This window comes from Homo sapiens, chromosome 6, assembly GCF_000001405.40.
Source record: "Homo sapiens chromosome 6, GRCh38.p14 Primary Assembly".
In the NCBI taxonomy this organism is placed as follows: domain Eukaryota; kingdom Metazoa; phylum Chordata; class Mammalia; order Primates; family Hominidae; genus Homo; species Homo sapiens.
The window spans coordinates 143,729,521-143,755,351 of record NC_000006.12 but is presented as its reverse complement, the minus strand read 5'-3'; the positions used below and the strand labels follow the sequence as shown (position 1 = coordinate 143,755,351).

The 25,831-nt window shown below is 39.1% G+C and overlaps 1 protein-coding gene across 8 annotated transcripts in view, besides 5 other annotated features; it reads right to left on the bottom strand.

Annotated features, from left to right (window-relative positions):
• PHACTR2 (phosphatase and actin regulator 2) overlaps window positions 1-25,831 on the bottom strand; it is a 294,308-nt gene that overhangs the window by 75,834 nt on the left and 192,643 nt on the right. For 7 of the 8 annotated variants that reach the window (NR_172204.1, NR_172205.1, NM_001394736.1 and 4 more), the window contains exons 3-4: window positions 6,287-6,367; window positions 1,440-1,598 (exon numbers count right to left, since the gene is read on the bottom strand). Coding sequence is in view for 6 of the 8 variants with exons in the window: in NM_001394736.1 (NP_001381665.1) it covers window positions 1,440-1,598; window positions 6,287-6,367 (240 nt within the window). In the remaining 2 variants the exon portion in view is untranslated. The remainder of the gene's footprint in view (window positions 1-1,439; window positions 1,599-6,286; window positions 6,368-25,831) is intronic. The other variant, NM_001394738.1, reaches the window with a different exon arrangement.
• Window positions 7,301-7,970: an enhancer, noted in NCBI's record as "OCT4-NANOG-H3K27ac-H3K4me1 hESC enhancer chr6:144068519-144069188 (GRCh37/hg19 assembly coordinates)". NCBI's record gives its function as "activates a minimal SCP1, AML or CMV promoter by ChIP-STARR-seq in naive H9 embryonic stem cells {active_cell/tissue: H9 hESC(naive)}" and the evidence as "EXISTENCE:reporter gene assay evidence [ECO:0000049][PMID:30033119]".
• Window positions 7,971-8,640: an enhancer, noted in NCBI's record as "OCT4-NANOG-H3K27ac-H3K4me1 hESC enhancer chr6:144067849-144068518 (GRCh37/hg19 assembly coordinates)". NCBI's record gives its function as "activates a minimal SCP1, AML or CMV promoter by ChIP-STARR-seq in naive H9 embryonic stem cells {active_cell/tissue: H9 hESC(naive)}" and the evidence as "EXISTENCE:reporter gene assay evidence [ECO:0000049][PMID:30033119]".
• Window positions 8,641-9,311: an enhancer, noted in NCBI's record as "OCT4-NANOG-H3K27ac hESC enhancer chr6:144067178-144067848 (GRCh37/hg19 assembly coordinates)". NCBI's record gives its function as "activates a minimal SCP1, AML or CMV promoter by ChIP-STARR-seq in naive H9 embryonic stem cells {active_cell/tissue: H9 hESC(naive)}" and the evidence as "EXISTENCE:reporter gene assay evidence [ECO:0000049][PMID:30033119]".
• Window positions 10,653-11,322: an enhancer, noted in NCBI's record as "H3K27ac-H3K4me1 hESC enhancer chr6:144065167-144065836 (GRCh37/hg19 assembly coordinates)". NCBI's record gives its function as "activates a minimal SCP1, AML or CMV promoter by ChIP-STARR-seq in primed H9 embryonic stem cells {active_cell/tissue: H9 hESC(primed)}" and the evidence as "EXISTENCE:reporter gene assay evidence [ECO:0000049][PMID:30033119]".
• Window positions 16,069-16,569: an enhancer, noted in NCBI's record as "H3K27ac hESC enhancer chr6:144059920-144060420 (GRCh37/hg19 assembly coordinates)". NCBI's record gives its function as "activates a minimal SCP1, AML or CMV promoter by ChIP-STARR-seq in primed H9 embryonic stem cells {active_cell/tissue: H9 hESC(primed)}" and the evidence as "EXISTENCE:reporter gene assay evidence [ECO:0000049][PMID:30033119]".

The following is a 25,831-nucleotide window of genomic DNA, read 5'->3' as shown; positions in this document are numbered from 1 at the left end:
AGAAGGCTGCCAGGGACAAACCACAGATGGATTTGAAATTCAACAGTCTGGCGAGACAGGACAGAAAGACTTAAACAAAAAACATCACTACTTGCGTTAATACTTTCAACTGAATCCCACTAAAATTTATTTAAGTCTACTTTCTTTTTATGTTCCAGGAATATTATCATTGAAAGTATTAGTTAATTTCATAATTTGTGTACATAAGCTTAACCAGAGTCCTTCAATGGAACAAGGCTAGATAAAGCCCTTGAAATAAAGCAAAATAATACATTTCCAACAGATTATTTACACAGGCTTCTAAAACTTTTAAAGGCTAATATATATGCAAATAATGAACGGTTATGAACTTCCACAGAGGATGATTTTAAGTTACAATGGTGTGTTTAATAGGGCCATCAAATAATCTTTTTTCCCTTTCGCTCTCAAGGATCTGGGTCAAGAACAGAGGAAGAGAATTCACTTTCATCAGTTTCTAAGAGTTCAAAATGCCCACAGAACACACACTAGGTTTGACAAAATTTTACCATTCAACTTAGAGACAGACATTATAAAATAGGAAATAGTATATTTCCTAAAGATTCCTTTCTATGCTGCATGGAGGCATCTAGAATCTCCCCACAAAACCTTTCCTTTTAGAAGTTTCATTTCATGTTTGGAGGTTCCTACGCATCACAGCAGTGGTATCGAGATGTCATCAATCCATAACTAGGAATTTGTGAATGTTCTGGGAGTCCCTGATAGACATGTATTTTGCAGGTATCTCAATCTACTGTAGCATATTCACTCTAGGAACCAAGGTCTCTAAAGAAGTCTTCTGGGAATAGCATAATCGCCTCTGGCACATTTTGAAGTTTCCAATTGCACAGAGGCTGTGGGAATCAGCCAGCAGAGCAACCACAGTCCGTGGCATCTCTGGGAGCTATTCCTGGGTCTCTCTCAGAAACGTCTGGAACCTATGATGCTGGATATGTGGATGCCACCTGCCAAGTTCCCACTGCTGGAGACAGTGCTGGGCTGAACAAGCCATGTGGGTTTTGATATTCCTCCATGCTGAACTGCTCACGGGTCCAATTGTAACCAGCAGAGAAAGATGTTCAGATTTCTCACTTTCATTATGATCCTGAGACAAAGCTCCTAAGAAAGGATAATCTTCCCAGACATCTCTAATGATTAAAGAGGCCACCCCTTCTGATTATTACTTTTAATTAACATTTTTAATAATTGAAAAAACAAATACTGTGCTTATAAAATGGATGCATCTACCTGAGAAAATCATCCGATTTCACTTTACTAGTTATCATTTCTTTCTTTTTTCTATTTGTAAACCTCTCCTCTGCAGACTGCTGGTTTTAGAGTCACTAGTTGGAGCCTAAGTGCTGGTTCTAGACATTGAGCTATATACTAAAGTAAATAATATGGGTTTGTCTTTATTTTACCTTTCTTATCTTCTGCCTGTTCCTCCAGAGGTGGTGTTTTTTCAGATACAGAGCCATTACCTTCTTCAGACTTTACTACATTTTCCTCTCGGGTAGATTCCTCTCCGATGGGTATCATGTGCCCGTTTGAATTTTCAAAGTTAACTGTTACATCTCCATCTAAAATGGGAAAGAAACACCTAGATGTCTAACTTGCTGGCTTTCTTAAAAACAAGTTTTCCAGTTACTAGGATTGTAAAATTTAGATTCATGTTTCAGTCCCTGGGAACCAAATACACCCTGCACTGTTTCACCGGTTTATTCAAAACAAAAGAGCTAGAAAATCCTCTGTCTTGGGGAAAAGCTGCTATGGAGGGAATATCTATGCGCCATTTCAAGACAACAGGAATGATCATCCTAATTATCCAATATCCCAGGGCAGCAGAGTCCCTCGTTCATGTGCTTAGGTTTGTCTGAAGTCAATAGTTATGTGTTTCTTTGTCATTCAGAAACAGAATGGCGAGAGGAATAATCTGGAAAATGGAATAAACATTTTACAAGCACCAAAAACACAAGGTGAATGCAAATACACAAATAACATGAAATGTAATTACACATACAAACAATAAGTGGGAGAATATGAAAATTTCCAAGTACTACTGGTTCCAGAATATATTAAGTATATGATGTGCTAACTTCACACAGTAATATAACTGCTACTCTATGTTCAGGGAAAACATGATAGCAAGGCTATTTTTATTTTTATTTGTTTATGGAAAGATTAAAGTATACTCAGGTAATTATTATATATAACTAGCCAAAAAGTCCCTAAGTTGTCCTAAAAATAATTTGAAAACATTCGAGAAAAAAAAAACACACATAAAAAAGTAATCACAAAGGAATTTTAAAAAACCATAATGGATACAATGTTGAGAGATCTAAATCATAAATTACTAATTTTAACTCCTGTATTTCCATAATTCCTGGGGGTTTCTAAAGTGAAAGAGACTTTGCAGAAACATTTAATTCAGTGATTCTTGAAAAGATTAACCCTACTTTATATCTGGAAAATTTTAAGAGGCTTTGCTAGCATTGTAAAAGAAAAATTAACAAATGGAAGGTTTGAGCAAACTTAAAAATCTGCTTGATTACAGCTCTTTCAATTTTTTACTACTCTTATCTTGGCAATCATTATAAAACAGAAACCATTTCCCAAATTGTCATTAAATAGGATTGAATTGCTTTGGCTTAACAATAAAATCCATTTGCCTTCTGAACAAACAGACATGACATTTTAATAAATCAACTACATATCATGAAATTATGTCATTTTTAGAATGAAAAAGCAATCGTTGCTTAGTCATATAACTCCCAATAACCTATAACTAAGTCCCGTGTAAAACTAAAATAAACAATAATTGAAGGCAATGCCATTACAAGTAAATCTCAACTATTTTAATAAAATTAAAGTAAGAATTTTTAAAAGACTATACATCAAAACAAAGAGAACCCAAATGATTCTTAAATCCTATTATTAAATCCCAAGAAATTAGCTATAAAAAGGAGGAGAACACAATATATCCAGATAAAATAAAAATGAAGAATGGAAAATTCCAAACAAAATAGAAAACCACTTGCTTATGTATAAAAATCTTCAGTTTTTAGGTAACTCAAATATAAATTTATCTTTGTTTTCTTTGACTTTAGTTAGTTGATAATAAAAGTATATTGAAGTCATGTCAATGACAATTTAATTCTATTTTAAGCATTATTATATTAAAATTCTTTAGTTAAATAACTGATTTATTAAATTTAGAAAAACCTGGAAATTTTAATAGCTGTGACACAAGAAGAAAGTGTCTTATCCTATGATAGAGAGAAATAGTCAACAATGTGGAAAATACTTACTTTGAGGCATGAAATAAAGCTAGTTAGTATGAAAATAATTGTAGAAAAAAGAGACACATTTGTGATAAATATGGAATTCAAGAACAAAACAGAGGGGAAGTAAAGTTATTAATTAGCTGGTGTGTATATTGAAAAGGCTTTCTAGTATTGAGTGTTAAGGAAGTTGTTTTAGAATTAAAATAAGTTAAATCCTTGATATAGTGTGTGTGTGTGTGTGTGTGTGTGTGTGTGTGTAAGTAAAATACAAGCAGAGCAAAGGAAGGCAAGAAGATGCTGAGCTGGATGGCAGGTGACAATAAGCGGCCCAAGTCAACACATCTCACGAGAGCAAAGGAAAGAGAAAACTCAAAACGTAGTTGTCAGCTTAAAGAAAACAGAGATAAAGCACAAACAGGAACAAGTGGTTAAATAAGGAACACGAGGGTGTTTGAAGGGGGTCACCTCCTTCTAGTAAACAGGTGTATTGGGGATATATCATAGTTAAAGGAGGGACAGATAGAAAGAGAAAATCATGTATGACCAAAAGGCAAGTGACAAAAGTCCACAGTGGGAGAAAAGGAAAGGATGGCACACAGGCAAAACCACCTCCACAACCTCATGTCAAAAGCTAAGGGAAAAGATGGAGGGAAAAAAGCAGAGGTAAGCAGCAAACTTGGACTAGATCATAGACTTCCCAGGAGAGAAGACGAATCACTGAACTTTTAGGTTGAAGGTATGTCTGGATGTAAATAAGAGAACCTAAAAGGAAAAATAACAATAGCCGGGAGAGTATGGGATATGGTGGGATGGGGTCAGACTCAGGGTAGCTAGAGGGATTTTTAAAGTCTATCTGGCTCACTGAATAAAGGGCTTGATGGACAGGCACTGTCAAGAGCAGACGCAAGGTCAAGAAGATCAAGGCAAACAATGAATCTTCACTGGCAGCAGAAAGGAGGTTGTTACCAAGAACAGCAGCTTCTAGTCTCTCAGACTGAAATTCTCCAGATAATTGCTTTTGGGAAAATCACAGAAAACTATTTTCTCCAGCCCTCAGCTGAAAAGGGGAAGGACTCCATTTACTACTGACATCCTCAGGAACCTTCAACCATTAGATAATTTCTACGGTTCTAGATAGGGACCATGGAAAAGCTGGAAAGTAAAATCTAGTATTTTATGACTTCTCAAACATTAAGCCTATTATTATATTATGCTTAGGTTAAAAAATTGTTTTGTTCTTTTATGTTTTAAAACTTTTAGTTTCCACTGGAAAAGTTAAATAAAAAGATCAGAGAGTCAGATTTCTGAGAAGTATATGTTGGCCCAAGAAATTATAATCTATGAGGCAAATAGTTTCACAGATTCGGCAGAATAAAAATCATTTCTTTAAATTGACTATTGCTACTTGGTTTTCAGACAGAGCAAATTCTTTTTCTACCTACAAATTTTAATTAGGAAAAAAAGATGGGCTTTTAATCTTCACATTTAAACCCATTAACAGTTTCAATCATAAAATTTTCCATTTTGTACTTTCTTTAAAATATTTCTAAATAAACGATGTCTAATAAATGCATTGGCCCATCCCATAAAGCTGATGGCCCAGTGTTAAGCTTTCAATGGGTATATTATTTCTCTATTGCCTTCAGAGACATTGGACAGGGGATTAATTTTGATATTGCAAGCCTACCTTTAAGTTTAAAAAGTTAGAAATGTGCATTTTTAACTCTTAAAAGTCTCAAACAGGAAATAAATAGCTTCAAAATAATAGAAAAACAGGGAAAACATAAAATTCATTCATAAAGTAGAGTAAGAAAAGTTTGACAGGTCAGAAATTGAAGTAAAATACCTAAAATTGCGAGGGCTTAAGAAAATGCTACTATTCACTGCAGAGTTCCCTACTTTCTTTGAATCAGGAGAAAAACAGGAAAGCATTTCTCAGCTCCACTCTGGAATTATTCAGATGCTGGAAAAAAGCATGTCATTTTGATTTACAAATAGTGAATGCCAAAAAATGTTAAGTCCTTTGCAAGGAACATATATCAGGAAAACAGCTGTATTATTATTTCAATTTCAATTTCAATTCTAAATTAATAGCATTTTATTTGTTCCCATAAAAGTACAATAATAATACTTTATTATTACAGTAAATGTGAGGGGAAGGGAGGCATGAGCTTAATCAACAAAATTGCAACAAAATGTCCTTTAATTTTAAATTTAATAGTGGAAGCGATGAAAATCATTAGGTATTATTTATTTGGAGAAATAACCAATGTTAGCGTCTTCTTTTGAGGGTCAGTACCAGTTTCTATCTGATCCTTGTCTTTTCTGAACAAAGTTCCTCCTCGGGAGGATAGAGAAAAAAAGAGAAGATCAGAGATAGGGGAAAAAATTAGAAATAATCATTGCTAGGGAAAGATTCAGAGAAATGAAAAGAGAACAGTACTGCAAAATTACATGAGAGAAAGCAGAAAGCAGGTTAGTTTAGTTTGCCTATTCATGCTTTATTGATTGTACATTTCAGTGTTATTATAGAGTGCAAAGGACAAGAGGTATGTGTGCCTTCTCTCTTCTCTTTTATTGGTAGTCTTAAGAAACAAAATAGCATGAACCAAGCTAAAACTTTGCATTTACTCAAACACATGAGTTTCATGTGAATAGAAAGACTGAAGCTCAAGAATAGAGAAGAGAAGGAGCCGTAAGCATTTGTATCTCATCTGTATTGCCCTCGGATGTACCTTTGCAGAGTTTTAGGTTTAGAATGACATATGGTGATGGATTCACCAGGAAAGTCACTAGAATTCTATAATATTTCAGATTCTCTGCAGCTCACAAAGGCATTACCAATGGAAGCACGGCGCTTGGAATGCAGTAATCACCGCTTTACCTTACAAAGACCATGATCCCTTTAAATTTCAAAAGAAAACAAAAGAAAAACCAAAGAATGAAGGACCAAAATATTTAAAATGTATGATTAATTTCCTCACCTTGATCAGGCAATTCCTTAAGCACTCCCCTTCTTATCAGCTCCTCTCTACTTTGTCGTGTGGATATCTTCCTTTCTAATACTTTTAAAAAGAACAAGCACAAGTAAGAATCAAGTCATTCCTTAAGATAATTATGAAAAACATTCCAAGTAGAATTGAGCACATTTATTCTCCTCACATGAGGGCTCAAACTCGTTTTCTTAGTTGCTTAAAAAAAACACATGATCTGAGTGGAATCAACACAGCTATGACAAGAGCAAATGGCTGCAGCCCATGATCTGAAGTCCAACCGCCATCCCTGGTCTTTCAAATGGCCACCTTTGGCCTGGCGTCCAGGCATATTATTACATAGCAACTAGAGAGCATAAAGCCTGCTTCTCACGCTGAAGCTAGAAATGTTGCATTCTAAAACATATAATTCTATGGATATGCAGTGTATGAAGAAGATATGTATGCTTACATTAAAGAAAAAAACACATAAACATCAGTAAATATTCTGGGTAACCCATTTGCATTCCAGGAAAATGAACTATTTTCTAGTGTTTTCTCTCTCACTCCATCTATTACAAAAGCCCAACACATCATATTTCTATAACTCTTTCCCCTGCGTTCTCACTAATTCTAGAGAGTTCTTATATATTAGCTGACAATCCCCAGGTCTTAGGAGGATGGAGAAGGCAGTTAAGAATAATCAGCTTTCAGCCAGGAACGGTGGCTCATGCCTGTAATCCTAGCACTTTGGCGGGGGCCGAGGTGGGTGGATCACCTGAGGTCAGGAGTTTGAGACCAGCCTGGCCAACATGGCAAAACCCCATCTCCGAAAAATACAAAAATTAGCTGGTCATGGTGGTGGGCACCTGTAACCCCAGCTATTTGGGAGGCTGAGGCAGGAAAATCGCCTGAACCCAGGAGGCTGAAGTTGCAGTGAGCCAAGATCGTGCCATTGCACTCCAGCCTGGGCGACAAGAGCGAAACTCCATCTCAGAAAAAAAAAAATAATAATAATCAGTTTTCACAGACATGTAAAGCCATGGGGATCTTAACATTGATTCTTCCTTCTTCTGGAACAAATGTAAATGCCTGGTAGAACTTTGGAATGGGGCTTGGGAGCTCCGGAGCAGGATCTCAATTGTGTTCCCCTTGAGTGTGTATAGTATTAAATCCTGTGCTCTATATGTCCATGCAACTGCAAAGTCCATTCCTCACTTTCAGGGGCCAAGAAGGTGCGTAAAATTAACATGTGGTCATGTCATCTATTAATCCTGAGTCAACATTTCCCAAAGCGTGTTCTGCAGAACTCTATTTCCTCCAGACCTTCTGTTCAAAAATGCACTTTGATACAGCAGCGAAGGGCCAGATAAGGAGTCTAGGGCACTTTGAAGAGCAGGAAAGCTACACTGGTAGACAACATGCAGCTGCAGTAGCACGAGATTTCTGACGTTCCCCGATTCCTACTCCTGGGCTCATTATCTGCAAATCCTGGAACTGCTCTAGACAACATCGTTTCAACTAAACTAAAGCCATTACCCCAAACCAGGTTCTGACACATCCAAAGGGAGCAGGTGATAACACTAAGAAGACATTTGTGATAACACTAAGAACATGTTTGCTCAGGGGCTCCAGGGCCTCAAGCAAGGACACTGATAGGAGACAGGGTGGGAGGATGCGCCCTGGGCAGCCAGCTTTGTAGTAAGTGCATGAAAGTCTTCCTTAAGTGTTTGCTAATTGCATGTGCCACAGAATAGCAACGCTTAGTCTCTTGAAGAACCTGGATTTTTTTTTCCTTTCTGATAATAGAAATTGTGTATTCCTTTTTAAATCCTGGTTGCTAGAAAGATCAGAGTAAAACTGGATATTTGACACAGATTTCATATGACAATTCGTGGATGGAATCTCTGTTTCCTCCTTCTCTAAAACCTGACTTGACTTATATTTTATGTACAATATATAAGCTCTTTACTGCACATTTTGTCAAACTTTTTTTGGATAGAATCAGAATAGAAACAAACAGGAAAATGAGTGAATGAATGAATAAATGGTCAAAAGAATGACAACGAACAGCTTTGGGTTAAAAAGGAGACATACACAGAAGGCTTCCCTCCCTTCCTTTAGATTCCTCACTGACCCCATTCTTCCTGTATCTTCCAGAAGCAAGTAACAACAGCTCACTTAAAGGTTAGTAATTTCAATGAAAAAAGTTAACCGGGCAAAGAGTCTTTTTTTTTTTTTTAAACTGGGTGTTCTATTATGTAAAAAGAGTGTTGTTATTTAAATACAGTTTCAATTTGTTCGGCCTCTTGTCAAAAAGGAGAGAACTCTTATCAACGGCAGGAAGCCAAAGAACACCCACAGTGACAGGTGGGACACTGCTGGGATTTTGCAGGTGCTTTAGAAGGACCTTGACCACTGCAGCCTCCTACGGATTGTAAAAGCCCATTCATGCTTGACTGGGCTCTGAGGGGTGGCGGGACTCTGTAGACCTCCTCCAACAGTTGTCTTGGCCTCCATTCCTGGGAACAGGCCCAGAGATTCACGGCTGTTCTGCCCTAAACTTAAGGATGAAGGTGGCAACTGCAAGAGCAAGTGCCGCTGGCCTAGGGATCGGGCCACATTCTCGCAAACCAAATGCACTGCCAATTCAGCATTCAATCACGGTGGCTGTCTTCCTAACCGGCCCTTTGCTCATAAGAAACAAAACTTTTACTGGTTTGCTGCTTCTTTAAAATTGCCCAAAACACAAAATGGCTGCCAGGAGTCCTGGATTCTAGTCCTTGAATTCCTACAACTTGTTGAGTGACCCTGGGCAGTCATTTTGAGTTCCTGGGCCTCTAATCCATTATCTGTAAAATAAGGGACACAATTCAAGGATCACTAAGGACAATTCATCCAGCTCAAATGCTGAGTGATCCTGTGTCATTAATCGAGGCTGTCTGTAATCTCTGCTCGGGCACCTTTTAAAACGTTCGTTCTTGCACTAAAAAATCATCCGATAGCCTGAAACATACCAGGTTTCTTATTCTGCCTTTCCATTATGGATCCCGGAGGATTCTTTAGTTTTAGTTTTGAGTTTTGCTTAAATTCTAACTTAGTCTCAGCTAAAAATTCCCCCTTTCTTCCTTGTAAACTAAAAATTCCCCCTCTTTCTTCCTTGTAAACTCTGGAGCTTTGAAGCAGCAGCCTTGGCTTCCTGCCAAGAATCAAAACCAACAGCTTTGTTCTTTTGCTCTACCTCCTATAAACAGGCTCTGATAGGAAAATGCCGTTGGCTATTTGTTTGGTCTTTCGCTGAGAGCGTATTTAACACACAATGCGGATACCTCTGTACAGGGCCAATGAGAACAAACTGCAGGCGACCGAGCACGGAAAGTATGTTGCTGGGGCACAACATTCCAACCACCGCTCTCACAGCAGTACAAGTATCTCATTCTTCACCTTTTAAAATATTTGCCTCTTGTTTATATAGTGCCTGCATGTTTGCAGAGCACATTCACTGGACACTTTTTCATGGGCTCAGAGGGGGTTTGCATTGCAATGAATCTGAGAGGTCATTCTAGTCCAACACACCGCACAAAGCAGGGGCTGTCTCAGAATATTCCTGAGATGTGCTCACCTGCTTAAAATCATTCAGAGGGAAGATGCTCACTTTAAGGCGCAACCCACTTCAGTATCGATCACCCTCATTTTGAGGAAGGTATTCCAGAGAAGGAGTCAAATCGCACTCCCTGTAACTTCTGCGCATCAATCTAACCCAAGCTCTCTGTAGCTCCGGACTAAAGTCAGTTGTTTGTGAGCAGAAAACGGCAGCAGTCGGCTCCAGGTCATCACTGAGAGCCTGCTGTTATTGCAGCCTGCTCGAATCTGATCCCAAGTATCCCACCAGCTGCTCTTTGACTTTGAAGCTTACACCAATCTATGCACAGAAATCTATGCACCACAGCTACAGCACAACCAAGATACTGCCAGGGAAGACGCTAGTGGGGCACAGGTCGCTGAATGTCGTAGCTGAATACAGTAGCTAAGGTGTCTCCATGAAAAGTATTATCGCCAGTTGAGTAAATAAATGACTCATGGCCTCTCACTTTTATCCCAACTGGAAAAGCATAAGAGCTTTTTTTATACCAAGATCAAACAAAGCCATGATTTCTGTTTCACTCTGCATTGGGCTAATTGATGTTTTGACAGTTCAATTCTGATAACAGCAGCGCACACTCTAATTCTCTCTGGGAAGTGAAGGAAACACTGCCCTGTATTTTCCTGACTTCAGGCTTATACTCTGGTAATCTTCCAAAAACTTCCCATGGCTGCCCATCTTACTTCCAACAATCCCTGAACTCACCGCAGCCCCTTAGGCTGTCCCGCCTCCCACGTGCCTGGCTCCTAACCACTTCTTTCTGGCTCTTGGCTTCAATTTCTTGGGGCCCTGCATGGTGGCCTCTGTCCTTCCCAGGAGGCCATATCCCCAGACAACTGCTAGACTCACTCCATCCTGTCCCACAAGTCTCTGCTCAAAGGTCACCTTAGTGGAAGTCCCTTCCCTGAACTCCTGATGTAGAATGGCTATTCCCCTTCCCAACTTTATCTCTTCTTTCCCTGCAAAACCCATCGTCACCTCCTAACATGTGTAAGTATAATCTCATTGAGAACCAAAATTCTGTTTTGCTTACTGCTGTGTCCCCAACGTTGACTTGCAGGCTGTTGGCTTTGAAAAAATATGTGTATTTGTTGAATAAAAGAAAATAGCTAATCATGAGAATGGTATTGTTTCTGCCCCTTCCCAGTCCTCAATTTGGGAAAAAGCAAGTGAGGCTTGTGGCAAAACCCTGAGCGACAAGAATCTTCTGTCTTCTCCCTCCTTAATTCTTGGCTGGGCCAGTCCTAGGGAAAAAAATTCTCAACCTTCTGTCCTATGGATGATCTGAAAAAGTCTCTGTATGCACTGAAGAAGGGAGCTCACAGTCTGTAGACGACAAACACCAGCACCTAGCAGGGTGTAGTACACGACTGGGCTCCTCATAAATTAGAAATGATTTATGATGTCCTTCTGGGCATGGAGAGGTAGCTGTGGAGCTGCACTCAGGAAAAGAGGCTGGAGCATATGCCGCTGGCTTTTTTCTGCGGATACTTGGCTGGGATTTCATATTACTCTGGAAATATCTGTGAGAGTAAATCTTGTAGTCAACAAGTCACTTGTGTTTTTCTTTGGCGAGGAAAGAGAGTCCTAATTCTCAATTCTAACACCATTTAATGACTGGACAAAATAGAAGAGCAAATAGAAGACTATTAAATAAGCGTGCCATGCTATCTTCTCAGTTCTGAGTACTGAATGGCCTCACTGTAAAACTGTGACAGAAACACACAAAACCACTTGTCTTGTGTTGAAAGTGTTCTACAAGAGCCTGGCTCGGCTTTGCCCCTCTTCAATAGCAGTTGCAGAAAACAGAATGTCAGAAAATGGTCTGCTTTTAACAAGATCTTCACTAAGGCAGAGCTAAGTCATTTAAAGAAACAACCGCTTCAATGCCACCCAACAGGACATTTGCAAAAACCTTCCAAAACATCCCAAGAATGTACAGCAGAGATACAAAGCCAACATCCCCACCTAAAAACACTCAGGGGTCTGGCGATTTTTTTGTTTATCTGCTCCAGCCACTCCCCTACTAAAGAATTCTACAGTCTGTGGAACCAGCTGGACTTGGAACGGCAGCCAAGCTTTACAACCCGTCCCAGCGAACCATTTTTCCCATCACTTTCCTTCCATCTCTTTTTTGCAAGCCTGGTGTTAAAGTCAAACTTTACTTCTTGCCATTTCCTAAACATCTGCGGTTCTTCAGCTCCATTCCTTCATGTATTGTTCCTTCTTCCTAGAATTTAGACTGTTTCCCTATCCCTCTCGGGTGAAATCTACCCTAAAATGTTAAGTTCTCTTCACACAGTAGCTCTGCATGGAGATCTCACTATCCTGATGGGCTAGAACTTTGTGTTCCAAAAGCACTTTCAACCAACTTCTCTGTGCCTCAGCGTCCTCATCTGCAAAATGGAGAGATAGCAACTACTTTCCTGGTTCTTTTGGAGACTAAATAGGTTAAACCAAGTAAAATACTGAGACCAGTACCTAGGATCTAGAAAGCATTCAATACATATTAGCTATTAACTATTATTTCTGTTATAGCACTTACTAAGTTGTTCATTACTAAATTCATGTGTATGCGATTGCATAATCACATGATTCTAGTCTAAGCCTTCTGAGGGATGTCGTGTTTATCATGTCATTCCCATAATGCCCAAAATAATATATCGCACAGAGTAGATATTGGGGACCTAAGTGTCTTTTTGGGGGGAAGGAGGAAAGGCATGTCTAGCATCCTCTTCTACTTCTTTTAGAAATGGCCTTCCTGACATTTTTCCTTTGGGAAGCCACATTCCCCCTCTCTTAGTCCATGTTATTTGTAGAAGGCTAACCTCATCCCTGGGCACAAGGCTCTTGGGCTCCTGGGCTTATCCAATCAGAGCCCAGTTTCTCCCTGGCACTGGTGACTGGTTCAGAGAGGGACACATGCTCAAGTTGCAGAAATAAGATCCAGGCCCAAAAAATTTGCTGGAACAATAGGAAAGCAAGGCTTTCTCTTTCTTCTGGAGCTGTTAAAACCAGACAAATATGAGCAAGAGTGGCTAGTGGCCACCTTGCCTCCGCAAGAGGAGAACTGAAGTTAACAACCACAACAACAACAAAAGCCAACAGGGAGGAAATACAGACTCAAAAGAGGGAGCGAGACAGGTTCTTAATGAGATAGCTTGTAAGCACCTGGATCCAACCACGCCTGAAGGTTTTCTGCCCCTGGATTTTTCAGTTACATGAGCCAATGAGTTCTCTCTTTCATTAAGTTTGTCATGATTCATCAGCAGTGAAGAGCCCTGACTAATCAAAAAAGTATCAAATAAATGTTGTTGTTTTTTTTTTTTGAGATGGAGTTTCACTCTTGTCACCCAGGCTGCAGTGCAGTGGCGCGATCCCAGCTCACTGCAACCTCCACCTCCCGCGTTCAGGCAATTCTCCTGCCTCAGCCTCCCAAGTAGCTGGGATTACAGGTGCCCGCCACCATGCCCAGCTAATTTTTTTTGTATTTTTGGTAGAGATGGGGTTTCACCACGTTGGCCAGGCTGGTCTCGAACTCCTGACCTCAGGTGATCCGCCTGCCTGAGCCTCCCAAAGTACTTGGATTACAGGCATGAGCCACTGCGCCCAGCCTCAAATAAATGTTTTTAAATTGAATTTTCTTCCAGTAGTCACCACAGATTCTCTAGGTTTTTGAGGGCAGAAATATGAAAGGAGAACTAATATAGCCCCTCTTTACCCACTCAAGAGTTTGAAACTTGGCCAGGACTTAAGAAAGAGGAAGATCTGTGTTCCTTCCTCCTCTTGGGAAATTACTGTCGCAATTTCACCCAGAAATCTGATAGTAATCATCTATTTCTTATGTGCTTGGAGAACATTTTCCTATTTATTTTCTACCCACTATCCCTAAAAGATAAGCTAAGCAATTCTTCTTCTTATTATTATTGTTATTTTTGTTTTCAGATGGAATCTCACTTTGTCACTCAAGCTGGAGTACAGTGGGGCCATCTTGGCTCACTGTAACCTCTGCCTCCCGGGTTCAAGCGATTCTCCTGCCTCAGCCTACTGAGTAGCTGGGATTACAGGCATGCGCCACCATGCCTGGCTAATTTTTATATTTTTAGTAGAGATGGGGTTTGGCCATGTTGGCCAGGCTGGTATTGAACTCCTGCCTCAGCCTTCTGAGTAGCTGGGATTAAAGGCGTGCGCCACCATGACTGGCTAATTTTTGTATTTTTAGTAGAGATGGGGTTTCCCCATGTTGGCCAGGCTGGTCTTGAACTCCTGACTCATTCTCCTGCCTCAGCCTCCTGAGTAGCTGGGATTACAGGCATGCGCCACCATGCCCGGCTAATTTTTGCATTTTTAGTAGAGATGGGTTTTCGCCATGTTGGCCAGGCTGGTCTCGAACTCCTGACCTCAAGTGATCCGCCTGCCTCAGCCTCCAAAGTGCTGGGATGACAGGCGTGAGCCACTGCGCTCAGCTAAGCAATTATTTTTATTTTCCTCCTCAGATAAGGGTATTGAGACTTACAGAGACTAAATACATTTTCCAGTCACACAGTAGGAACCTGGTTGAACCCAGGTGTGTGTAACCAAAAGACTCCTGCTTTGTATTCTCCAATCTGAGTTCATAATTGTAAAGATTCCAACTTTCCCACCAGAGGTACGCTGCTTTCTGATTTTTCTTAAGAAAGCAGACAGCAGAACACTTTTTAAAGTTAATTTTAAATGGGTATTTTTAAAATGGTAGTACATTCTCACAGAGTTCAAATTATAAAAGGATACAGTGTAAATTCTCACTCTCACCCCGCCTCCCAACTATTAGACTTGAACCTCAGCCTTACTCCACAAGCAATTCTCCACTTTTATTAGTGTCTCGTGTATCCTTCCAGACATACTTGAACAAATATTCATTTTATTTTTTCCTTTTTTTTTTTTTTTAATTAAAAGGATGTTTTGTAATAGTTGTTTTGTTTTTGTAAAAGTGTCAGAGGCGTGTGAGCCAGAGCAACTCCATCTTGAATAGAGGCTGGGTACAAGGAGGCTAAGACCTGCTGGGCTGCATTCCAGATGGTTAGGGCATTCCAAATCACAGGATGAGCTAGGAGGTCAACACAAGATACAGGTCTTAAAGATCTTGATGACAAAACAGGTTGCAATAAAGAAGCCAGCTAAAACCCACCAAAACCAAGATGGCCACAAGAGTGATCTCTGTTCATCCTCACTGCTACACTCCCACCAGCGCTATGACAGTTTACAAATGGCATGGCAATGTTAGGAAGTTACCCTATACGGTCTAAAAAGGGGAGGCATGAACAATCCACCCCTTGTTTAGCATGTAATCATGACATAACCATAAAAACGGCAACCAGCAGCCCTCAGGGCTGCTCCGTCTATGGAGTAACCATTCTCTTATTCCTTTACTTTCTTAATAAACTTGCTTTCACTTCACTTTATGGACTCCCCCTGAATTCTTTCTTGTCCGAGATCCAAGAACCCTCTCTTGGGGTCTTGAGCAGGACCCAGTTCCTGTAACAAAAGTATATAATAGTTTACAAATTTCAGGTAGTAGGAGGTCACAGATAAGACCGAGGTGGGAGGAGGGAAGAGGTGATTGTCTTAGACCTGCGCAAACAGCAGAAGGGAATGGACATGGGAGATCAGCCCATGGGGACCTATGGTTCTAATTCCGAAGGAATAAAGGTCCAAGATTCAAACAATGAGCAAGTCCTCAATCCCAGAAGGGCCAGGAAGTACAAGCAATCTCAGGAGAGTAATTAGAAGCGAAGATTTGAGTGCTACGTGTAACACAGCCTGTCCTTCCCCTTCACTCGGACTCTCGCAAACTCATAAGAAACACGAATGCCTAAGACAGGTGTTTTTGAATTCATCTAGTTCAAAGAAAAGCTTGCGTGTTTCCATTTCCTGTTTCTTTACAGTAAAAGATGGTAAACCTAAGACACAGTGACACCACAGAGGGGACCAATGTTTGAAATACGAATAATGATAATCATCCCTAGAGAAATTACACTCTAATCTCGTCCCAAAAAGAACAGGCTAGAGAACTGATTTTAAAGTGAATCTCGCAGCCGGGTGCGGTGGCTCACACCTGTAATCCCAGCACTTTGGGATGCCGAGGCTGGTGGATCATGAGGTCAGCAGATCGAGACCATCCTGGCTAACATGGTGAAACCCTGTCTTTACTAAAAATACAAAAATTAGATGGGCGTGGTGGTGCACGCCTATAGTCCCAGCTACTTGGGAGGCTGAGGCAGGAGAACGGAGTGAACCCGGGAGGCGGAGCTTGCAGTGAGCCAAAACCGTGCCACTGCACTCCAGCCTCGGGACAGAGAGAGACTCCGTCTCAAAAATAAATAAATAAATAATAAATAAATAAAGTGAATCTCAGCTGTAAATGGTAATGAAGCTTTTCAAACTAAGAGATCATAAACAATAGCCATTGGAAGAGAAGCTCCAGAGAGCCTGAACTTCTAACACCCTTCTCCATGATCTGCTTTCAATCTACACATTTCAGGGACTCAACACCTTTGATCAAGATGGGATAATATCTCATTTCATCAGTCAACAGCAAGCAAGATTAGATAGAAAAGAAATCTTAGTGACACTAAAGCATCCTAAATGAAGACATTTCCATTCATTTAATTTTCTTTCTTTCTTTCTTTCTTTTTTTTTTGAGACAAGGTCCTGCTCTATCACCCAGGCTGGAGTACAGTTGCACGATCTTGGCTCACTGCAGCCTCCGCCTCCCGGGCTCAAGCCATCCTCTCACCTTAGCCTCCTAAGTAGCTGGGACTACAGGCATGCACCACCATGCCCAGCTAATTTTTGTTTTGTATTTTTTTTAAGAGATGGGGTTTTGTCATGTTGCCCAGGCTGGTCGTGAGCTCAAGTGATCCATTTACCTTGGCCTCCCAAAGTGCTAGGATTACAGGCATGAGTCACTGTGCTGGTCCCAACTCATTTAAAGATCTAATTCTATTGCCCTGGGGTAAAGGTGGCTGAAATTCTTTATATTTTAGGTTGATCTTTTCAGGGGGGTCATGAAAAAAAATGTATAATCTTTTGTTTTGTTTTGTTTTGAGATGGAGTCTCCCTCTGTCGCCCAGGCTGGAGTGCAGTGTCACAATCTCGGCTCACTGCAACCTCTGCCTCCCGGGTCAAGCGATTCTCCTGCCTCAGCCTCCTGAGTAGCTGGGATTACAGGCGCCCCCCACTGGTTTCGAACTCCTGACCTTGTGATCCGCCTGCCTAGGACTCCCAAAGTGCTAGGATTACAGGCGTGGGCCACAGCGCCTGGCCAAAAATGTATAATCTTTAAAAGCCTATTTTTTATTGAGTTGAGCCATGAACAATACATATTAAAACAACACCAACTCAGGTAGGTGGGGATAACCAGTCTAAGTTGTAAGAAGATTTGAGTAGGAATTTCCCCAAATCCATGTTTATTACTTTCATTTTACATATCCAATCAGACCAGGTTTCTTAAGATGATTAAAAAGTTTATTTTCTGGAGCATTCTTCACATTCTGTCCACTACCTACCATCTTGCCTACACAACAGAGAGCACAGTATTTGTAAAGAACAGTATTCCTTTGGCAAAACTGGTCCAGGCCTAAACTAAAGCAGGAAAGATAAACTACACCTGATTCCTGCCCAACCCTGCAGTGATAGGAAAATGGGTAGTTTCAACTGAAGTTTTTATTTTCTAAGATAAACACAAAAATGCAGTTTGGGGAAAGGTAACTTTTCACTGTAGCTGAAACTGTAACACTTAAGGTTTGATAGCAAAGCTAAGTTTGTACTTAGACATTATGCTCTTTTCAATAATCCCTCCTTGCCACTCTGTGTTTCAAATATTGTGATTATTTGGGTAATATCAGGGTCTCATCCTTCTTGAAGACTGAAAGGCTATGAAATGTAGAAGGAAGAATATATTTATCTTAATACATACTATATATAATAGAATATTTCATACAATAGGTTAGAATAGACTGGGCTGGGTGTGGCAGCTCATGCCTGTAATCCCAAAGCTTTGAGAGGCCGAGACAGGAGGATCACTTGAGCCCAGAGTTCGAGACCACCCTGGGCAATACAGTGAGACACCATCACTCTAAAAAATAATAATAAATAAAATTTAATTTAATTTAAAAAGAATAGACTGCTATATACTACATAGACATATATATAATATATATAATTCTTAAGAGGTCTAGAATATGTTATGTGTAGAAGTATTCTTGTCCTATATTGTTTCCTGTATAATATTTACAGAAAGGTATAAAATAAATATCATTCCTATATAATATTTATATAGAAGTTCACGATGTTATATTACATTATATATAATAGACTCTATATAATAGAATACTTTTATATAGGATGTATTCCAGTCCTCTTAAGAATATACCTTTGTGTTCAAATCCAGACCCTGCAAGTTATTGGTAGGTGAACACAGGCAAACTCCCCAACTTCTCTGAGCCTTTATTTCCACATGTGAAAACACAGGCACTAAAACCTAGCATGAATAGACGTTAGGATGATTAAAATATCTTGTAGGCCGGACGTGTTGGCTCACGCCAGTAATCCCAGCACTTTGGGAGGCCGAGGCGGGCGGATCACGAGGTCAGGAGATCGAGACCATCCTGGCTAACACAGTAAAACCCCGTCTCTATTAAAAATACAAAAAAATTAGCCGGGCATGGTGGCGGGTGCCTGTAGTCCCAGCTACTCCGAGGCTCAGGCAGGAGAATGGCTTGAACCTGGGAGGCGGGGCTTGCAGTGAGCCGAGATCTTGCCACTGCACTCCAGCCTGGGTGACAGAGCAAGGCTCCGTCTCAAAAAAAAAAAAAAAAAAAAAAAAAAAAAAAAAAAAAATTGTAAAGGGTTTGGCATAAATTACAGACCAAAGAAATAGGAGTTTTTTTCTCCTCTACTTTCCATTTCTCCTGTATACATTTGCATATTCCTTGATAATAATCCACCAATATTTTCATTTGACATGCTTATTGACCTAGAAGGCAGCATAGTATAGGGATTAAGAATGCAAACTCAAGGCAGGGTTCTGAGGATTAAATACTGGCTATGCTTTGCATAAGGCCTGGAACTTAGGGTGATTACCTAACTTTTCTGTGCCTCGCTAGTTTACTCAGGAGTAAAAGTGAGATTATAATAGTAACCTGCATCATAGGGTAACTGAGAAGATTGCAGGCATTTAAAATAGTATCACAGGCTGAGCAACATAGTGAGACTCCATTTCGACAAAAAATTAAAAAATTATCTGGATGAGGCAGGAGGATCGCTTGTACCCAGGAGTTAGAGGTTAAGGTGAGTTATGATTGTGCCATTGCACTCCCACCTGGGTGACAGAGAGAGAACGTGTCTATAAAAATTTATTAATAATTAATTAAAAGAGTGCCTGACACATAGTAAATACTCAATGAGTTAGTTATCATTATTATTAATACCCACATATCTTTTTCCTATATTAAGTTTAATCCTAAATGAAACTTCAAATGAGTAACAGAAATACATTTTTTAAACTTTAATTTTTTTAGGAAAAACTACTTTACTTCACAATGCTACACATATAGAAATTACCCAAATTATCCAAAGGGAACATTTTCAAGCCTCATGGGGTAGTAACTAATTTGAACTTTTTAGCATTGAATTGAAATGAAAAACTCAGCAAAAAGAAAAGATGACGGAATGCCAGCAATATGTCACTGTCTTACTTAACACAGGTGATTAAACTTTCATTGGTGTCAATAATGTTTTGCATTTGATTCATCTGAAGTTTTTTTAAAAAAACATTACAGAGGGTAAGTGGTGGGGTGGGGGGATGGGAAGTTGTTGAATGGGCACAGAGTTTTCATTTTGCAAGATGAAAAAGTTCGGGAGGTCTGTTGCACAACGATGTGAATATACTTAACACTACTGAACCGTAAACCTAAAATGGCTAAGATGGTAAATTTACATTATGGATTTTAAAATAAAATCAAATTGTAAAATATTTTAGGACTATAGATTTCTATAAATGCTGAAATGAAAAACAGACAAGAAAGAATTTTCATCACGATAATGCATAATCAGTTTTCTAATAATTTTCTAATATCTAGTCTTCTTTCCAATCATGTTTTTTTATTATCTTGTATTTTTGTATATAGCCTCTTACGCCCTGTCTTATGGGTACTAAGTAAACACTTATACTTTGGAATAAAGGAAACTTCATGAGTACCAATTTCAAAACTTACAGTCTAGGCTTGGGAATCAGTTGGAGAAACCTTCGGACAAAAAGTGTTATAAGCCTAGGTGAGCAAACACCTAACACAAAAGAAGTAAAAATTAAGATTGCATCTTATATTCTAAGTGAGAAATAAATCAGGAAAATATGTAAGCCAAAAAACAGTCACTTTCCAGGACTTAGCCCTCAGTGATAAGGACCAGATTCATATCACAGGATGAAAAAGACAAAACAAAACCACAAAGGGAAATAATATGCAAAGGAAATAAAATAATGGACTTTCCTGACATGAATTCTCTGACCCAGGCCAGAAGGGCTTCTGTAGTACCTTTAAAAGTGTTTAAAGTGGCACCACTCCAAAGGAAAATGAAATTAGGAAATTATCCACCCAAGCAAGGGATATAAACAATCGGATCTTCTCTTAAAGCAATACAAACCCACTTTGTCTCAACCCAATGGAGGCCTTATTTAATTAAGATGTGGGTGGGAACAGTGCTCCTTTTCTCCACATCCCCCTTAGCAATCAAATGTGATGGAAAAAAAAGGGAAAGCAAGTTAACAATTCTGCAATTCATTCTATGTGTGTGATTTTTAAAATGTGTCATTTGTAATCAGAAATCAGCAAAATCAGTAGCATCCATGTCTCATTTGAGAATGCTTTCACAGAATGCTCAGTGAAAATGCCTTGCTTATCTGAATTCACTAGAAAAACCTAACTCCCCCTGGAAAAGACGGGAGACTTGAGATACTAGTCAGGTCTATGGTGCAACCCATTTAAATCCAGAGCTCGGCTTGGATTAAACACAATATCCCACTTTTTCCAGAATGTACAGGAAGCAAGGGAGACTCCTCAACTCCATTTAGAAAAAAAGATTTCATGGTTTTATCGATCTGTAAGAGGTAGGACCTGATGGTTAGGCCATTTATTGTGCAGCTGGGCTATTCTAAACCCATGGTGGAAGCATCCCATATTTATAAAACCACTAACTTCAATTATGACAAATGCACAAAAAGTTAGCACTCATATTCTATTACTCTTTCCCATAAATGGGTTTTACCACTAGAATAGACCTATAATGAATAATAAATGCTCCATAAATAAAAAGATGGGCCATAATGAGTCTTTCCATCCACCTATGTATAAAAAGATTGAACCAAGAAAAAAAATCCATTCTACTGGGAGAAGAAAAGGGGAGAAATAATTAGTCTCCTTTATATTTAGAGCACATAGAGGAAATCTGTTTTAACACAATTATATACCTTTAGGAAAATAATAGACGATATTTTTTAAAAGCATACGTAATAAAATTATTATATAATATCTCTTGCCCACAGAATTTCTAGCACTCATTTGGTCTCATTAGGTTTTGTTGTGAAATACACAAGAACACAAATGGTTGAATTAAAATACAACCCCCACCACACTTCCTTTCTGAGAAAGATGTTCCCACATTGACCTTTGCAATGCTGCCATACAGAGCAGTCACAGTTACTTAAGGTCATTATCCATTCATGAGAGAATAGCTCCCCACCCTACCCACTAAATTGGTAAAATATTCATTTAGTCTGTTATGGCTTTTCAGGGTTTCTTGAGGCTGTTTTAAGCAACTCTCAGTGGTATGAACACTAAAGAAGGATTGAAAACAAGCAGTCATTCCCTACCCCTCACCCCAAATCCAGCACTTTCCAAATCGAAAAGATTCACTTGCAAATGCTCCATATATAGGATGGGATAAGGTCCATCAAGAGCCATTCATTCATTCATTCGTTCATTCAATATACATTTACTGAATGTTTAACATAAGCCAGGCACTATACAAGTTTCTTTGAGATCTCACCAAAGAAGAAAACAAAAATCCCTGTTCTCATGGAATTTATAATCTACTAGGAAGTGGGGTCAGATAACAAACAATAGAAATAATTTATAGATGTTAGACGGTAAAATGTGCTATGGAAAATGAAAAAAGTAAGGTAGAAAAAGAGGAGGAATCAGGCTAGGCATGGTGGCTCACATCTATAATCCCAGCACTTTGGGAGGTCAAGGTAGGACAATCACTTGAAGCCAGTTGGACACCCAGCCTGGGCAGCTGAGCAAGCCTCCATCTCTATGAAAAAAAATTTTTTTTTAAAATTAAGTTGGGTGTTGTGGTGCATGCCTTTGGTCCTAGCAACTTGGGAGGCTGAGGCAGGAGGATTGCTTTGAGCCCAGGAGTTAGAGGCTGCAGTAGAAATGATCACACCACTGCACTCCAGCATGGGTGAATGAGCAAGACCCTGTCTCAAATAAATAAATAAATCAGAAAAGAAAAGACAAGGAGTAATCAAAAGTGCTGGGTGGAGCTACTTTATACCCACCAGGATAGCAATAATAAAAAAAGACAGGTAGTAATAAATGTTGGCTGGAGTGTAGAGAAATTAGAATGCTCATACACTGCTAGTAGGAATATAAAATGGTGTGGCTGCATTGAAAAACAGTTTGGCAGTTCCTCAAAATGTTAAACATTGAATTACCACATGACTAAGCAATTCCATTTCTAGGTATATAACCAAGAGAAATGAAACCAAGAGAAGTGAAAACATATATGTACACAAAAACTTATATACAAATGCACACAGCAACATTATTCATAATAGCCGCCAATAGAAAGAAACCCAACGTCCAGCAACTGATGAATAAATAAAATGTGGTATATTCATACAATGGAATGTTTGGTATTTGATAATGAAATGATGTACTGATACACGCTACAACATAGATGACCAATGAAAGCTTGCTAAGTGAAAGATATCAGTCATAAAAGACCACATATGTATTGTATGATTCCATCTGTATGAGATATCAAGAATAGGCAAACCCGCAGAGATAGAAAGTAGAGCTGGGAGACTGGTGAAATGGGGAATGACTGCTAATGAGTATGGGATTTCTTTCTAGAGTGATGGAAATGTTTAAAATTGATTGTGGTGATGGTTTCACAGCTCATGAATATTACTAAAACCTATTGAGTTGCACACGTTAAATGGGTGAACTGTTTGGTATATCAATTATATGTCAACAAGGCCATTTAATTTAAAGAATTCTGGGGGAGAGGAGAGATTTGAAATAGAACAATCCAGATAGATCTCACTGAGAAAGTAGCATTTGCACATAGACTTTATGGAAGGAGATAAGGCAGTTGGTTAACCATAAAGAAATCTAGAGGAAAAGTTTCACTTTCTTTTCCATTTCAAAGCACCAGAGGGCCTGCTTAAACTTACCCAAGTTAAAAGAGATCACCTGAATGGTCCTATAACTATAAAAGAAATTGAATATGCTATTTAAATCTTTCAAAAGAGAAATCTTCAGGTCCATAATGCTTTACTGTTTATTCTACCAAACATTTCAAGAAGAAAATAACAACAAATCTACACAGTCTCTTCCAGGAACAGAAGAGGAGGGAACAGTTGCCAACTGATTGTATAAAGTTGGTGTTGCCCTGATATCAAACCTAGACAAAGATAGTGCAAGAACACTACAGATCAATACCATGAATCCTCAACAAAATATTATTCAATAAAATCCAGCAACATATAAAAAGAATACTACACCACAACACAGTGGGGCTGGCTGGGCGCCGTAGCTCATGCCTGTAATCCCAGCACTTTGGGAGGCCGAGGCGGGCAGATCACCTGAGGTCCAGAGTTCGAGACCAGCCTGACCAACATGGAGAAACCCAATCTCTACTAAAAATACAGAATTAGCCGGGCGTGGTGGCTCATGCCTATAATCCCAGCTACTCCGGAGGCTGAGGCAGGAGAATCACTTGAACCTGGGAGGCGGAGGTTGCTGTGAGCCAAGACCGTGCCATTGCACTCCAGCCTGGGCAACAAGAGCGAAACTCCGTCTCAAAAAACAAAACAAAACAAAACAACACAGTGGGACTTATCCTAAGGATGCAAAAACTGGTTCAAAATTCAAAAATCTGCCAATGTAATCAACCATAATAGTGGTCTAAAGAAAAAAACTGAAATGACCATATCAATTGATCCAGAAAAATGCGTTTGAGAAATCCAATATCTATTCATAATAAATACTCTTAGAAAGTCAGGAACAAAAAGGAACTTCCTCAACCTAATAAAGGGCATGTATAAAAACCTTCAACTGGGCTGGACGTGGTGGCTCACGCCTGTAATCTCAGCACTTTTGAAGGCTGAGGCAGGCGGATCATGTTGTCAGGAATTCCAGACCAGCCTGGGGCCAACATAGTGAAACCCCGTCTCTACTAAAAATACAAAAATTAGCCAGGTGCAGTGGCACGTGCCTGTAGTCCCAGCTACTCAGGAGGCTGAAGCAGGAGAATCGCTTGAACCCAAGAGGCGGAGGTTACAGTGAGCCGAGATCGCGCCACTGCACTCCAGCCTGGGCCACAGAGCAAGACTCCGTCTCAAACAAACAAACACACACAAAAAATCTTACACCAACATCATACTTAATGAATGCTTTCCCCCTAAGAATAGGAACAAAGCATGGATATCTCCTTCAACACTGCTGTTTACTATTGTAGTACAAGTCCTAGCTGGTGAAAAAAGGGAAGAAAAAATAAAAAACATGCAGGTTAGAATGGAAGAAATAAAATGATTCCCATTCACAGATGACATAATTGTCCATGTAGAAAATCCTAAGGTATTTTCACTAGAACTACTAGAACTGATAAGTGAGTTTAATAAGGTAGCATGATACAAGGAACAACTGGAAATTGACATTTAAAAATATATATAATTTACAGTAGCTAAAAAATAAAGAAAACAAATACTGAAGTATAAACTTATTAACTGTTTTCTAAAAACTTCAAAAGCTAATAAAAAAATGGAAAAGCTAATCAAATGGAGAGGCATACCAGTTCATAAATTAGAAAGTTCAATATGGTATAGGTATCAGTTCTACCCAAACTGCAGCATAGATTTAATGCAGTTTAAATAAAAATCCTAGCCAAAAAAAAGTACCCCAGCAGTAATTTTTCAACAATAAAAACAAGTTGGTTCTAAAATTTAAATGAAAGCCAAACAAACTAGATTAGTTAAAACAATTTTAAATGAAGAATAAGGTTGGAAAATCACACTACCTAATTTTCAGACTTATAAAGCTATAATAATCAAGATAGTGTGATATTGGTGAAAGAATAGACACAGATTAAGAGAATAAAATAGTGAGTCCAGAAATAGACCACATATATGTTGCCAATCAATTTTTGAACAAAGGTGCAAAGGTAATAGTCGTTTCAACAAATGCTGTTGAAATTTCTTACACATGACACCAAAAGCATGATCTGAAAAGAGAAAAAAAATGGTATTTCATCAAAATTAAGAGCCTTTGCTCTTAAAAGACACTGTTAAAGAATGGAAAGACAAGCTACTAGAGCCTGGCAGAAAATATCACCAAGTAACATATCTGACAAAGGCATTGAACCTAGAAGATATAATACTCTCAAACTGAACATTAAGAAAACAAACTACTCAGTAAAAATTGGACAAAAGACTTTTACCAAAGAGAATATGTGGAAGAACAATATATGCTTATTGATTTTTAAAACAGTACAAAGGCAACTTAATAGAAAAAGGATGATCTTTTCAACAAATGATATTGAAATAACTAGACATTTACATGCAAAAAACCAGCCTTGACCCAAACCTC